The sequence below is a fragment of the Homo sapiens genome, chromosome 8 (assembly GCF_000001405.40).
Source record: "Homo sapiens chromosome 8, GRCh38.p14 Primary Assembly".
NCBI lineage: Eukaryota > Metazoa > Chordata > Mammalia > Primates > Hominidae > Homo > Homo sapiens.
Window position 1 is genome coordinate 23,049,384 of NC_000008.11, and position 16,723 is coordinate 23,066,106.

Genomic DNA, 16,723 nt, shown 5'->3' on the forward strand with positions numbered 1-16,723 from the left:
TGAAGAAACTCCCCAGGCCTCCAAAAACAAGTGTGTGGGAGGGCTGAAGGAACTCCCCAAACCTCCATGATTTAGCAGGAGACAAGATAAGGGTAATCACCCCAGCACCTGGACCCATTTAGATTAAGTAAATTTACTGAGGCTCCAGAGGAAGGTCTTCAGGACTCAGACCTTAGTTATAGATTCAAAGAAGTTAATCACTTATGTCTTTAGATGAATGCACACTTACATGTAGGCATATAGCTTAGAAGGGATATAAACTCTGAAAAGCTTTGTAATTTTGAGTTGGTCTGGTGATAATTTCCAGGCCTTCTCCTTGTAACCAGTTACAGAAATAAAAACTCTCTTCCTCCCCAGTTCACCTGCATCTCATTATTGGGCAGTGAGATTCACCTGCATCTCATTATTGGGCAGCGAGATTCACCTGCATCTTCTTATTGGGCAGCGAGATTCACCTGCATCTCATTATTGGGCAGCCCCACCCTCAGTTTGGTCTGGGAACAAAAAAGTCGCCAGCCAGAAGATAAGGACAGTGCCGCGTTCAGCGGCTGGTAGCTTGCGATGAGACAGTCTTCAGGAGGATCCCAGCAGCTGTCAGGTGAGGTTTCCCCAGGGGACCCTCCAGAGGGCTGTTTATGTGCAAATCTACACGTCCCTTTCTCTACTGGGGAAGAACAGAGATAAGGAGCGGACGTGCTCAAAGGGTGAGTCAATGGGATCTTAGGCCAGGAGCCTATTGTTTTCCCATTTGGGCTGGTTAAGCCATTTATCCGGTACTGCCAAGGGAAGCAACAGGGCTGGCTCATACACCCACTTTCCCTTTGGTTGATATCAGGTTTTGCGTTAGTTTTGAGAGTCTGTTTTGCCGTAGTGCACTTCCCCTTGGGTTTTTCTGAAATGTTTCCATTTGTTTGTGTGTCTGTCTTGTTCCTTTTGATACCATGTAAACTTGAAAATGGGAAGTATTGGGTCCATCTCTGCTGAGAGGCCTCTGGGAAGGAGAAAGATTTTTTGAAGCTCAATGATTGGGAGTCAGCTTAATTAAAAGCTAACATCCAAAATGTGTATGTGCATATGTGTGTGTGTGCGCACGGGGGCGTGAAGGCCTTTAAAAGGCCTTCGTGTTTTTGGTTTTATTTCTCTCTCTCCTAGGGCCTTATCTTTTTGAGCAAAACTTTTTTTCTTCTCAGTTGACTGAATTCTGTTTTCTTCATTAATAGCTATTAAACAGAAGCTACTCTGGGGTTTTAAAGAAAAAGTGTAATTTAGACACTTAGAAATGTCTTTGGGAAAAAATTGTTTAAGTGCACTGTAAAAGCATCACATGGTCTAGCCTCATAATAATTCTCCCTTTTTGAAAACCCAGGATTCAGTATGGGCTCCACCCAGAGCTCAAACATCCAGTTAAGGCCGGGCGTGGTGTCTCATGCCTGTAATCCCAGCACTTTGGAAGGCCGAGGCGGGCTGATCACTTGAAGTCAGGAGTTCGAGACCAGCCTGGCCAACATGGTGAAACCCCATCTCTAAGAAAAATACAAAAATTAACCAGGCATGGTGGCAGGCACCTGTAATCCCAGCTACTTGGGAGGCTGAGGCACGAGAATTGCTTTTACCTGGGAGGCAGAGGTTGTAGTGAGCAGAGATCATGCCACTGTACTCTGGCCTAGGCAGTAGAGGGAGACTGAAAAATGAGGTCTTACGAATCTATAAAATGTACTTCTATTGGCATGCATAATACACTTATGTATTTGTCTTGTGTACACCATGTTTCACTACTGAAGATATACAAAAGAGGTCTAATTAAATGGCTCAAAGAAAAAAGCACTTGAATAACAGAAAAAAGGAAAGACTAGTCAAATGCTTTTTCAAGTTTATGTGACTTAAAATCTTTAATAAGTAAGCTGGTTTTAAAAATTATTGGTAAAGTAATATTAGAAATGTCTTAAGAGTTTCCAGCATACATTTTAGTTTGCATTTATTGATCAAGCAATTTCATACTTATCTCTGCCAAATATTATAAGGTGTCAAAATCTGGCATAGAGGCTACAAAACTATAATTCAGTGCAAACAGAATAATCTTTGCATGTGTAATTTTTAAATAAATGAAACATTAATATTGTTTTAATGAAGATAGTTACATCTTGAATTATTTAGTAAAATACTCTTTTTTTTTTTTTTTAAGATGGAGTCTCGCTCTGTCGCCCAGGCTGGAATGCAGTGGCGCGATCTCGGCTCACTGCAAGCTCTGCCTCCCGGGTTCACGCCATTCTCCTGCCTCAGCCTCCCGAGTAGCTGGGACTACAGTCGCCCGCCACCGCGCCTGGTTATTTTTTGTATTTTTAGTAGAGATGGGGTTTCATCATGTTAGCCAGGATGGTCTCCATCTCCTGACCTTCTGATCCGCCCACCTCGGCCTCCCAAAGTGCTAGGATTACAGGCGTGAGCCACCGTGCCTGGCCAAAATACCCTAACTTCTAATCTTCTGGCCTTAAGCAGTCTAGTCCACAGACATGAAGGAAGTTTGTTCTGGGAAAGGACTGTTATCACATTTGTTTCAAAGCTAAATTATAAACTAAGTTAATAAACAAGAATACCTTGTAGGTTAGAAGGAAGATGGAGTCAGTTAGGTCAGATCATTTTCACTGTCTCGGTCATAATTTTGCAATGGTGGTTTCCTAACTTTAATGACAACTATCGCAGTTTTCATATATAATCTGGGTAAATGATTAAAATAAATAATTAGATAAATGTAATGGGATACATACTCATAAGTAAACTTGTCATAATTTAGAATCTAAAGTTATATTAAACAACAGATATCTAATTATTTGGGTATTTTCTAATAAAAATATATCGTAGGAAAACATTCTTTCTAAAGATTGTGTCCTTTTTAAAGGGTAACTTTTTTTTTTTTTTTTTTGAGACAGAGTCTTGCTCTGTCACCCAGGCTGGAGTGCAGTGGCACAATTACTGCTCACTGCAAGCTCCACCTCCCAGGTTCACACCATTCTCCTGCCTCAGCCTCCCGAGTAGGTGGGACTACAGGTGCCCACCACCACGCCTGGCTAATTTTTTGTACTTTTTAGTAGAGACGGGGTTTCACCGTGTCAGCCAGGATGGTCTTGATCTCCTGACCTTGTGATCCGCCCGCCTCAGCCTCCCAAAGTGCTGGGATTACACGCGTGAGCCACCACGCCTGGCCAAGGGTAACTAATTGTTGTCTTATTCAAAGCTTATTTAAAGGTTATATATAAAACAAGGTAAAAGAAACCAGGAAATAAGAGAGATATACAGAAAGTTATAAAAATAAGGAGAATTTTAAAGATTATTGGTAAAAGTATCTTCAAAAATGTAAATAGTTGGTCTAAATTATGCAGGTCAAATACTAGGTTTGCTAAATGCTTTAGGTCATAAAATGCTTCTTTGACTTAAAAAGTGTTCAATTTATTTTGGACTGTTAAATTCTAGATACGGCCTGGGGACATGTGAAATTAGCCATGTCCCCTAGCTATGCAAAAAGTTTTAAAGAAAAGAGAATTTATACAAGAAGGGCTCCTGTATGGTAAATTCTTGTCCTAAAGTAAATTAACTGGTTGTTTAAAGAGAGGGATGTTTAGAACAAGTCAGAAAGTCAAGGCATGTCAGAGATTGTCTGTGTAAGTTGTGAAAGAATTTATGAAAGGAAATTTATGCAAGAAATGTTGTACAATTTAAAGGTGATTAGGCCTCCTAAATGCTTTATAAAATGCCACTATGACTCTTAGCTGTACAACTTGCCTGCTTTGCAGCTAGGTAAGGCCTAGGACACATGGAGCTAGATGCTAGAATAAGTCAGACCTTACCTGCATTTCTGTCTAGGTCGTAGGCTCCATACCTAGTATATAATTAAAATCCCAAATTTACCAAGGTTTTCACCAAAAGAAAAGGTTGCTAAGAATTAACAATGTAATGTGTATTTAAGACTATTGAAAAAACAGTTTACATGCAAGTTGTGTAAGGAAAGTAAAATATACTTTTGGTAAAAAGATTATAAGGAGGCATGAGAATGTGGATATTTTTTACTAGATTAAAAGGTTAAAGGATTGTTTTAAGTTGGATAAAATAAAAATGAAAGTTTAAGCAAGCTGTGGAAGGGTAATTGTAAAGACAATTCTGTGTGTAAATGTATTGGCTAAAATTAAAGGGATATCATCCAGTTTTTCTGTAAATTGAGCATTAAAATAAAAGCACAATGGGTTTCTCTTAGAGCACTAACCTTCTGTTTAACAAAAATTGTAAAGAGTTATGAAAGGTCTATAAAACTCTTACTTTATGGTCAAACATTAAAATTGGGTAAATGTGTCTATAAGGTTTTATTAAAAATTGGATTTAACATTAATAGTACACTAATGTAAAGGTGAAATGTGGCTTATTTGATATAAAATTATACAGGAAGCATTGTCAAACATGAAATGGTGTTTGGCTTTCTTTGGGCTGTATGTGCATAAATATATTATTGGTATGTGTTCCAAAGTTATGGAAGACTCCTATAATTCTGATATATCTTAGTGTATGTTATCATTAATAATTATAATTGTTATGTTAAAATTATTGTGTGCCACAGAGGTAACAGATACCCTTGTCATCAATTGTGTCTTTAACTATGGCTACCCTAAAACCTTTTGTCCTCCATAAATAATTGTTGTCTGTCTTGTTTTGGTCCTCTTTAGAAGGTGGTTTTATAATCAGCTGTAAAGCTCTAACAGGTGCTCTTGAATGCAGGTTTCTGATAACTTTGGAGATTGTGACATCAAAATAGAGGAAAAACGTTGATGACTCTTGAAGAGTTAAAATGTTCATTAATATCAAACAGGACAGGAATTAACTGCATGAACTGAACTAATAGGAGACTGAAGTGATCTTTTTGACTTTCGGCTTAAAATGTTGCTAATCCTTTGTTTTGCTTTTCAGAGGCAAGGAAACTTTTCTTTTGAGCTATTAACACCTTTTAACATTTAAGTACAGTATACTCCTATGAACAAAATTTGGAGCATATTTGTTTCTCTCTACCTGATTTTCTCCAGAATTTCGAAACTGTGAGTATTCTTAAGTTATGGCAATATAGTTATTTGCATAAGTGCAGTAAGAATCTGTTTTCTTTTGTAACAGGACACAATTGGAAAAACTGGTTATTTTACCAAGGCTTTGACTTTGCTCTCCTTTAAGGAATCAAACTTGACTTAGGAAGCCAAGAAAGCCCTTGGAAACTGGCCTCATAATTTGTGTACATAGACCCTGTACAGGGTTTCTGACCTGTGGTAAGTAAAGAATGTCACTTTCTGACAGGCCAGGAACCCCAAGTTATCTTGGAACCTCAAGAAGAGAGGAATTCACCCAACTCATAGGTATTTGATGGTATAAATCCATGGTTGGGCTCGGCTTTAAAAAGGTCTTATCTCAGATTCCTGCTATGGAACAAAGTTCCATCAAAGCCCATTTAAAACGCCTATGTAAAAAATAATTATTCTTGCTGCACGGTATATAAGTAATTAGGCCAAGTATAATAAAGCAAACCAGTCCTACCATGATTTGTCTTTTAATAAAAATGGGAAACAAGAGAGAAAAATTATGTTTCAAAAATTATAGTTACACCTGTTAAATTCTAGTCTTCCTCGATGTTTTTCAGTTTTTATTATTTTCTACAGTTTGGATTAAATTCTAATTTTTCTGGCTGCAAGTCTCAAAATGTTTTCAATTTTTTCCTTTTTCTTTTCCTTTTTCTCCATTTTCCCTAACTGGAAATCACTGAAACCTAAGCTTTGCTTTCTTAAAGCCCTGTGAACTGAAAACTAGGTGTTTCAGCAGGCACTCTCTCTAAGCCCCTAAAATAGACAGTGCTACCGGGAACAAATCAACCTCCTCCACTCCAGTACTGCATTTGGTGCCCCATAACAATGACCCTCTCTCAGCTGAAAGTAGCCAGAAAGATTATGACACCCCATCTCCCTACGATTCTCATGATAAATAAATACACAAGCATGATAGAAATCATGCGCAAATTGACAGTGGGGATTGTAGCAGGCCAGGTTTCACTAATGCAGGCCTCCATCACAACTGTTTCAGTACTAATCAAGTGCTTAAGTTAACTATTAAATGCTTAAAAAAAAAAAAAAAAAAGCCAGTGCCCTTATACAAAGGCTGGAATGTAACAAAAGCCCATCAAGAGTTTTGCTTAGGCCTTTCCTGGGCCTTAAAGCATGACAAAATAATGGAGGAATTCATAACAGGACCCATTTAGGATTAAACAAGTTTTATTGGGGGTTTTGAAGAAACTCCCCAGGCCTCCACAAACAAGGGTATTGGAGGTTTGAAGGAACTCCCCAAACCTCCATGGTTTAGCAGGGTAATCACCCCAGCACCTGGACCCATTTAGATTAAGTAAATTTACTGAGGCTCCACAGGAAGGTCTTCAGGACTCAGACCTTAGTTATAGATTAAAAGAAGTTAATCACTTATGTCTTTAGATGAATGCACACTTACATGTAGACATATAGGTTAGAAAGGATATAAGCTCTGAAACACTTTGTAATTTTGAGTTGGTCTGGCGATAATTTCCAGGCCTTCTCCCTGTAACCAGCTACAGAAATAAAAACTCTTTCTTCCCAGTTCATTGGCATCTCATTAATGGGTGGCAAGAAATAGCAGCCCGACCCTCAGTTTGGTCCAGGAACAGTATGGTTGTTCCTCAAAAAATTAAAAGTAGAATTACCAGATGATCCAGCAATCCCACTTCTGGGTATGTATCCAAAAGAACTGAAAGCAGAGTTTTCATGTTTATAATTTCACTGAAGCACATACTGTCCTTATAGAGTCATCAGCTTTAAAACTATAAATACGATATTACCTTAATGCCCAACTTTGTATTATCTGCCCTACTATAATAAGTAGATTTACTTTGTTTTTTCAGGACTTGTTTTTGCCTGATAAGACTCAGGAATTATGAAATGTGAAGTTAAGTGTGGCTCACGCCTGTAATCCCAGCATTTTGGGAGGCCGAGGCGGGCGATCATTTGAGGGCAGGAGTTTGAGACCAGCCTGACCAACATGGTGAAACCCTGTCTCTACTAAAAATACAAAAATTAGCCGGGCATGGTGGGGCATGCCTGTAATCCCAGCTACTCAGGAGGCTGAGGCAGGAGGATCCCTTGAACCAGGGAGGTGGAGGTTACAATGAGCCAAGATTGTGCCACTGCATTCTAGCCTGGGCAACAGAGCAAGACTCCATCTCAAAAAAAAAAAAAAGAGAACCATATTAATAGCTTCCCACAAGTTTTGATGCATTAAACCTTCATTATATTTTGAAATATTTTTGTATTAGCTTTTAATTTCTCCTTTGAACCATGGATTATTTATAAGTGTGTTGCTTAGCATCCAAATTTGGAGGTCTTTCTAGACATTGTTATCTATTTCCAATTGAATTTCATTGAGATCAGAGAACATATATGAGTTCTCTTTTTTAAAAGAGACTTTACTTAGACTTATTTTATAGCCCAGAATATGGGCTATAAAATGAGTGAGGGTACCATCTTCACTAGAAGAGAATGAGTTTTCAGTAGATGCATGTGTCCTCTTATAAATGTCAATTAAGTCAAGGTGGTTCAGATCTTTTATGACTTTTTTTTTTTTTTTTTGAGACGGAGTCTCACTCTGTTGCCCAGGCTGGATGGAGTGCAGTGGTGCAATCTTGGCTCACTGCAAGCTCTGCGTCCCAGGTTCATGCCATTCTCCTGCCTCAGCCTCCCGAGTAGCTGGGACTACAGGAGCCCACCACCACCCACCATGCCCGGCTCATTTTTGTATTTTCAGTAGAGATGGGGTTTCACTGTGTTAGCCAGGATGGTCTCAATCTCCTGACCTTGTGATCCACCTGCCTCAGCCTCCCAAAGTGCTGGGATTACAGGCGTGAGCCACCGCGCCTGGCCCTTTTATGACTTTACTAATATTTTTGTCAAACCATTCCATTAATTGCTTAGAACAGTGTATTATAATTTCCTCTGAATTCTGTAATTTTTTTTTTTTTTTTTTTTGAGATTGGAGTCTCACTCTGTTGCCCAGGCTAGAGTGCTGTGGCATGATCTCGGCTCACTGCAACCTCCGCCTCCTGGGTTCAAGTGATTCTCCTACCTTAGCCTCCCCAGTAGCTGGGATTACAGGTGTATGACACCACACCTGGCTGATTTTTGTATTTTTAGTAGAGACAAGTTTCTCTATTTTGGCTAAGCTGGTCTTGAACTCCTGACCTCAGGTGAATCCGCCTACCTTGGCCTCCCAAAGTGCTGGGTAAATTTTTGCTTCATTTATTTTGAAGCTCTATTATTGAGGACATATATCTTATGATTATTATGTCTACCAGATGAATTAACTCTCTTAACACTACAAAGGTCCCTTTTCATGTCTTATAATATTCTTTACCTTAAAATCCACCTCATATGATATTAAGATAGCCACAGCAGTTTTCTTAGGCTTATTACTTGAATGGTATATCTATTTTCATCCATTTGCTCCTACTATACCTGCATTTTGCTTTTAAATTCCATCTCTTGGCTGGGCACAATGGTTCATGCCTGTAATCCCAGCACTTGGGGAGGCCGAGGCGGGCAGATCACCTGAGGTCAGGAGTTCGAGACCAGACTGGCCAACATGGTGAAACCCCATCTCTACTAAAAATACAAAAATTAGCCGGGCATGGTGATGCATGCCTGTAATCCCAGCTACTTGGGAGGCTGAGGCAGGAGAATCGCTTGAACCCAGGAGGAGGAGGTTTCAGTGAGCTGACATCTCGCCACTGCACTCCAGCCTGGGTAATAGACCAAGACTCTGTCTCAAAAAAAAATTCCATCTCTTATAAACATTATGTAGTTAAGTCTTGCTTTTTCATCCTTCTAACCATATCTACCTTTGAGTTATAGTGTTTGGTGGATTTACAGTTAGTGTAATTATTACTATAGCCAAAATAGTTCTATAATTTTACCAATTTTTGTCCATTCTATTTTTTACCTGTTCCTTCTTACCTGTATATTTAATGTTAATTGAGTATGTTTTAGAATCCCATTTTAATTGTGTATTGGCTTTTTTTTTTTCAGATGGATTTTCACTCTTGTTGCCCAGGCTGGAGTGCCATGGCACAATCTCGGCTCACCACAACCTCTGCCTCCCAGGTTCAAGCGATTCTCCTGCCTCAGCTTCCCGAGTAGCTGGGACTACAGGCATGCATCACAATGCCCAGCTAATTTTGTATTATTAGTAGAGATGGGGTTTCTCCGTGTTGGTTAGGGTGATCTTGAACTCCCAATCTCAGGTGATCTGCTCGCTTCACCCTCCCAAAGTGCTGGGATTACAGGTGTGAGCCGCCGTGCCCAGCTTGTGCATTGGCTTTTTAAATCAACAATATTTCCATTTTATGTGTAATTGTTATAGTGACTAAAATAAATGCTGTTTTTTTAAATCTAAAACTAAGGTAAATTATATATAACATGAAACTTATCTTTTAATCTTTTAAAATACATAGTTCAGTGACACTACATTTATTAATGTTGTTGTGCAATAATCACAACTATCCATCCTCAGAAGTTATTTCATCTTCCCATTCTTCCCTCCTTACAACCGCTGGCATCCAACATTCTACTGTTGGTTTTTATGAATTTGACTACATTAGGTACCTCAAGTGGAATCCTATTTCATTTGTCCTTTTATGAATGGCATTTTACTGAGCATGTCTTTAATGTTCATCCATTGTGTAGCATGTGCCAGTATTTCCTTCCTTTTCAAGGCTGAGTAATACTCCATTGTATGAATATACCACATTATCTATTGATCTGTCCAACTTGAGTTTCTTCCACTTTTTGGCTATTGTGAATAATACTGCTATAAACGTGGGTGTACAAATATCTGTTTGAAACCATGCTTTCAATTCTTTTGGACGTATACCTAGAAGTGGGAATGATGGATCATCTGCTAATCCTGTTTTTACTTTTGAGGAACTATCATACTGTTTTCCATAGTGGCTGCACCATTTTACATTCCCATTAACAGGGCACGAGGGTTCCAACTTCTCTACAAATTTGCTAATGCTTATTGTGTGTGTGTGTTGTTTTTGTTTTTTGAGACAGAGTCTCGTTCTGTCGCCCAGGCTGGAGTGCAGTGGTGCCATCTCAGCTCACTGCAAGCTCCGCCTCCTGGGTTCACGCCATTCTCCTGCCTCATCCTCCCAAGTAGCTGGGACTACAGGCGCCTGCCACCACGCCGGGCTAATTTTTTTGTATTTTTTTTTTAGTGGAGACGGGGTCTCACCATGTTAGCCAGGATGGTCTCAATCTCCTGACCTCGTGATCCGCCTGCCTTGGCCTCCCAAAGTGTGGGGATTACAGGCATGAGCCACCGCACCCGGCCTGTGTGTGTTTTTTATAATAGTCATCCTGATGGGTATAGGATGGTATCTCTGTCGTTTTGACCAGCAGTTCCCTAATGATTAGTGATTAAAGTATCTTTTCATATACTTATTGACCATTTGTATATTTGCTTTGGAGAAATGTTTATAAAAATCAGTTGCCCATTTTTAACTGGGTTGTTTTTGTTTTGTTAGATCGTAGGAATTCTTTATATATTTTAGATATTAAGCCCTTATCAGATATATAACTTAAAATATTTTCTCTCATTCTGTGGGTTTTGCCTTTTTATCCAGTTAATAGTATCTTTTGATTCACAAGAGTTACTGATTTTCAAGAAGTCCAAAATGTTTATTTTTTCTTTTGTTGCCTATGTCCATGGTGTCACATCCAAGAAATTATTGCCAAATCCAATGTCACAGAATTTTTATCCTATATTTTCTTTCAAGAGTTCTATAGCTTTAGCACTTACATTTACATCTTTTATTTGTTTTTAGCTATTTTTTAAATACAATGTTAGGCTAAGGTTCACTTCATTCTTTTGAATGTGGATATCCGGTTCTCCTAGCCCCCTTCATTGAAAAGACGGCCCTTTCCTCCATTCAACAGTCTTGGCATCCTTGTGAAAAATAATTTGGCCATATATGTGAGTGTTTATTTCTGGCTCCTCTATTCTATTCCACTGATCGATTTATCTGCTTTTATGTCAGTACCATCCTGTTTTGATTACTGCAGCTTTGTAGGAAGTTTTGAAAATCAGGAAGTGTGAATCCTACTACATTTTTATTCATTTTCAAGATTGTTTTGGATATTCTGGTCCCTAGAAATTCCATATGAATTTTAGGATACATTTTTTCATTTCTGCAAAAATGTCCTTGGGATTTTGATAGAGATTACATTGAATGTATAGATCACTTTAGGAAATGTTGACATAATTAGTCTTATAATTCATAATCATGGCATATCTTTCCATTTATTTTTGTATTCTTTAATTACTTTCAGTAATGTTTTATAGTTTTCATTGTACTAGTCTTCCACCTCCTTGGTGAGTTTACTCCTATTTTATTATTTTTGATACTATTGTAAATGGATTTTTTCCTAATTTCTTTTTTTGAATTGTTCATTGGTAGTGTATAGAAATGCAATTGACTTTTCCAGTTGATTTTGTATTCCGCTTCTTTGATGAATTCATTTTAGTACTACTAAATAAAAATTAAAAACACAGTTTAGATATACCCCACGGCAATTACCCATAACCATGTAGCCAAAACTTAAGACATCCTGATATCCCTGAAACATTAGCTATAATCATAAAAAATCCCACAAAATATAAGTTTTACACCTTCATCATGACATAATATGGTTCAGTGAAGTTAAATCAAGCAGCTATAGAAAAATCAGCTTAAACAGCTCTGATTGCCTTTAAAAAGAATATAAATTTATAAGTCAATCATGAAATTGTCAAAATACATCCTCCTTTATAGCCTGTACTATACCTGCTGTAAGGCAAGTTTCTTACCACTTGGTTTGAAATCTCCCAGATTGCAATCTGTACTGTCTTTTACTGAACAACAATAAATTTCAAAATTTTAAAAATTTAATATTATTTTATTTTTGGCAGTTTAATTTTTTGTGAAATCTTTTGGATTTTTTACCAGTAAGATCATATCATCTGAAAACACAGATTATTTTACTTTTTCCTTTACAGTCCAGATGCTCTTATTTCTTTTTCTTGCCTGTTTTGGCTAGAACTTCCAGTACTATGCTGAGTGGCAAAGGTGGGTAGATATCCTTATGTTGTTCTTAATCTTAAAGGAAAAGCTTTCCGTCTTTCAACACTGAGTATGATGTTAGCTGTGGGGTTTTCTTACATGGCTTTTATGATGTTGTGGAAGTTTTCTTCTATTCTTAGTTTGCTGGGTGTTTTCATCATGAAAGGGCTTTGAATTTTATCAGAGGCTTTCCCTGTATCAACTCAGATGATCATGTGTCTTTTTCCCCCTTCATTCTATTAATGCAATGTATTACATTGTTCAGTTTTCATTTGTTCAAACATTCTTGCATTCCGGAAATAAATCCAACTTGGTCATGGTGTATAATCCATCTAAGGTACTGTTGAATTCTCTCTGATAGTATTTTGTTGAAGATTTTTGCATCAGTTAGGGATACTGGGATATAGCTTTATTTTCTTGTAATATCTTTATCTGCTTGGGTATCAGAGCAATGCTGGCCTTACAGAAAGAGTCAAGAAAGGTTCCCTTCTCTTCAAGTTTTTGAAAGAGTTTGAGAAGTAGTGGTATTAGCTCTTCATTAAAAGCTTGTTAGAATTCACTAGTGAATTCTGTCAGTTTAATTAATAGTATTGAAGAATCAATGTTGGTTTTGTGGATTTTCTCTATGGTTTTTCTTTTTTCTTTTTCTTTCTTTCTTTGAGACAGAGTCTCACTCTGTTGCCCAGGCTGGAGTGCAGTGATGTGATCTTGGCTCACTGCAACCTACATCTCCGGGGCTCAAGTGATCCTCCCACCTCAGCCTCCCGAGTAACTGGGATCACAGGTGTGCTCCCCCGGGCCAGGCTGCTTTTTATATTTTTTGTAGAGACAGGGTTTTGCCATATCCAGGCTGGTCTCAAACTCCTGGCTTCAAGCAATCCTCCTGTCTTGGCCTCGCAAAGTGCTGGGATTATAGGCGTGAGCCATCACATCCGGCCTCTACTGTTTTTCTATTCTCTGTTTTATTTATTTCTCTTCTAATAATTATTTCCTTTATAATGCTAACTCTAGGTTTGGTTCATTCTTTTTCTAATTCCTACATTTGTAAACTTAGCTCGTTGATTTAAGATCCTTCTTCTTTTTTAATTAAACCATTTCTGGCTATAAATATCATAGATGGAATCAGATACTATATATGCTTTTCTGTCTGGTTTCTTTAACTCAGCATAATTATTTTGAAATTCGGTCATATTTTCATATGCATCAGTACTCCATTCCTTTTCATTACTGAGTTGTATGGCAGAATTAATATGGTAATATTATAAAATGTAGGAGACTTGAAATAATACAGATTGATTCATCTCCACTACTCATTCTTTCTGCTATAGTTGTCTCAGGCATGTTCATATGTTACAAACCCTACAAAGTGTTATATTACTTGATAGTGAATATTTTCAAGAAATTAAGAGGAAATAATCATTCTTTATATGTGCATTCATATTTCTATTCCTGATGATCTTCCTTCTTTCCTTAAGATCCATGTTCCCAGCCAGGCAAGGTGGCTCATGCCTGTAATCCCAGCACTTTGGGAGGCCAAGGCGGTGGATCTCCTGAGGTCAGTAGTTTGAGACTGGCCTGGCCAACATGGTGAAACCCGGTCTCTACTAAAAATACAAAAATTAGCTGGGTGTGGTGGCAAGCGCCTGTAATCCCAGCTGTTCAGGAGGCTGAGGCAGGAGAATCGCTTGAACCCAGGAGGCAGAGGTTGCAGTGAGCCGAGATTGCGCCATTGCACTCCAGCCTGGGCAGCAACAGTGAAACTGTCTCAAAAAAAAAAAAAAAAATCCATGTTTCCATTTCATTTCATCTCTATTCAGATTGAAATCTTTTAGCATTTTGTGTACTGCAGGTCTATGAGCAATGACGTGCCCATACTGTCTCCAATAGCACATTCAGGTTCCTAATTCTTAAAGCCATTTATGCCCATTTACTCTTTCTTATTTGGTAATGACCTCACCCAAGTCTCAGATTAGAAACACTAGAATCCACCACAAACCTCTTTCCTCTTCTTACCAAACCCATTGCATCACCGGCCTGCGTTATCATCATTTCCCTCAGATCTGCCTCAGCTGCCACTTGCCTCCTTCACGATAATGCAACCTGACCCTCACCCTAACCACTAGGACCCATCCCGAATGCTGTCCAGGCCACACCTGAGTGCACCCACCTAGTCCACTCTCCACTGGGTGAACAATGATCTTTAATGGGTGGATCTGATGAGGGATGTCCCCGGGGAAAACTTGACAATGGCCTTGGTGACTCTGGACTTGGGTGATCCTCCGTACTCTATTCAGATCCTCTGTTCTGTCCTCAGCCTGCCTGCCACACTCCCCACCTCTCACGTTTAACACACTCTATGAGCAGGCTGAGGACACAACGTCTGGGTTAGTGCAGCTTCCTAGAATCCACGTTACTCATTCATTCATTCATGGAAGGCATGTAGGCGCCTGGCGACCGCATATGCAAGGAGCCGTGGAGTATCGGGAACATGGCACGGCCCTTCCTTTCCTTAGCACAGTTTCCATTCACAGGAGCTGAGGCACAGCCATCATTAACCCCAAAGTCCATGAACTTGCAAAGAGTCTGGAGGGGCTGCCCAGGCAGAGGTGACAAATGCCATCGGTGGCAGGGACAGTAGTGGACATAGAGGAAAGAGTGCACACAGACAGAATCCCAGACAGACAGGAATCCAGTGTAATGGGGGAGGGGAGTAAAAACAAGAGAGGTACTGCTGAATTAATATTGTAATATGATTACAAAATGTAGGAGAGTTGAAATAATATAGATCCATTCATCACCATTCACTCTTTCTGCTGTGCAGGACGAGGCTGTGCCGTCCGTGGGCCTCTCTGATTGAGGGAGAATGGGCGTGTGGCCAGAGATGCACAGCTGTGTTGGGCCACAGAAATGGGCTCATGGGGGTGTCCATGGGCATGGTTAAGAGAGAGAAGGAAAACAAGAAGAAGGGAGGTCAGGGGTTTGGCTTATTTCAGTTCTTGTCCCATTGAATTCTAGGGACCCTGCCTCCTCCCGGACATGAGCCATTGGCGGGGTTTCCCTGTCTTGTGACTCACCCACCTGTGATTCAGGCTCCTTGCTTTACACCAAGTTTGAGCATAAAACCTGCTAATATTTCTCGTCAAAAATTAACCCGAGTAACCTCTTCTTTCCTCTCTGAGTCACCCACATCCTTAAAACTGCCCAGGATAATCACAGTTCCTGCATAGGTTGTTGTGTGAACTGAAAGTGTTAATATGTATGGAAAGTGCTTAAAACACAGAACTTTAAACACATGCTCTGATTAGTACGATCATTACCCTCAATGTTGATTTTAAGCAAACCATATTATCCTGGCCAAACTACCATGACCTGGAGCCTTGGGACTGCACAGCCTCCCTCTGTCAGTCAAATATGGAGGGATGACATCTCTGGAGCCAGCACAGCCACTCTGGAGGTGGGGGAGGTGACAGTGGTGGGACCTCATGCTTCCTGATAGTTATTTAGGTCCCTGCTGTCACCTGCTCCACCAGACTGTGGGCTCCAGGGAGTAGTCAGTATTCACACAGGGCTCATTTGTCCTTCCCCAACCCAGGCACAGATTTTCCCAGAGTAAAGGGTTCCTCCTCTACCTGATGAATGAATCACTCCTGTCCCCGCCGCCAAGCACATGCAGTGAGACTAGCTGTGGCCTCAGCTCACTGCGTAAGGACAGCCTCCAGCTACAGCAGGGGCAGAGGACCCTGTAGAGCTCTGTAGTCTCTGTTGAGAACCACAGGCAGGAACTCCCAGAGGCCAAGTGCAGGGCAGAGACTGGGAGAAGCAGCTGCCTGGAGGACTCTGGATCCTTGCAGAAGACATGTCCAGTGTCTGCTGAGACTGACTCTAGGTGCCTGAGAAGAAGCCACCCAGGGAAGGAGAGACTAGATTGTGGACCACTCAGGGCTGGGAGATCTGCATGTTCCCCTTCCCACAGTGGACAGAACGCATGCCAGGGTGCTGGCGAGTTACCATCAGAAGTCAACCACTATAACTTTAGTAGTTAACTAAATGAGCCCCTGAATAAGGCAACTGAACACAAGGTATATAGTTATATGTAGATAAAAGCTAGTATCAGAGGAGCAAACTGATCCTCAGTTTTCTGTGACCAGAATAATGCCCAATAGACTTTGAAAGAACACAGTGATGTTCGGTACCCAAGAAAGCAAAATTCACAATGTCAAGCAATAAGAAATTACTATGCATGAAAAAAAAAGTCCCTATGGGCAGGAAAAAAAATGTAATCAACAGAAACAGTGGCCGTAATAACAGATATAATGGTGTTGATAGATTAAATAACTTAAAACAGGTCATCTAAAGCTTACAAATATACTCAAGAATATTTAAAAAACAGAAAAACAAAAAACACCACCACCAAAATCATAGGTTGCGCACGGTGGCTCAGGCCTGTAATCCCAATACTTTGGGAGGACAAGGTGGGAGGATTCCTTGAGCGCAGGAGTTTGAGACCAGCCTGGGCAACATGGTGAA

General features: G+C 39.8%; 1 protein-coding gene across 3 annotated transcripts in view, besides 2 other annotated features; it reads right to left on the reverse strand.

Annotated features, from left to right (window-relative positions):
• Positions 1-16,723, reverse strand: part of TNFRSF10B (TNF receptor superfamily member 10b) — a 48,899-nt gene that overhangs the window by 29,251 nt on the left and 2,925 nt on the right. The gene's annotated exons all lie outside the window — the stretch shown is intronic.
• Positions 653-947: an enhancer, noted in NCBI's record as "tiled region #6582; K562 Activating non-DNase unmatched - State 5:Enh". NCBI's record gives its function as "activates a minimal TATA promoter and a strong SV40 promoter by Sharpr-MPRA in K562 cells {active_cell/tissue: K562}" and the evidence as "EXISTENCE:reporter gene assay evidence [ECO:0000049][PMID:27701403]".
• Positions 14,588-15,787: an enhancer, noted in NCBI's record as "P300/CBP strongly-dependent group 1 enhancer chr8:22921484-22922683 (GRCh37/hg19 assembly coordinates)". NCBI's record gives its function as "activates an origin of replication core promoter dependent on BRD2, BRD4, P300/CBP, MED14 and CDK7 cofactors, with strong dependence on P300/CBP, by STARR-seq in HCT116 cells {active_cell/tissue: HCT116}" and the evidence as "EXISTENCE:reporter gene assay evidence [ECO:0000049][PMID:35650434]".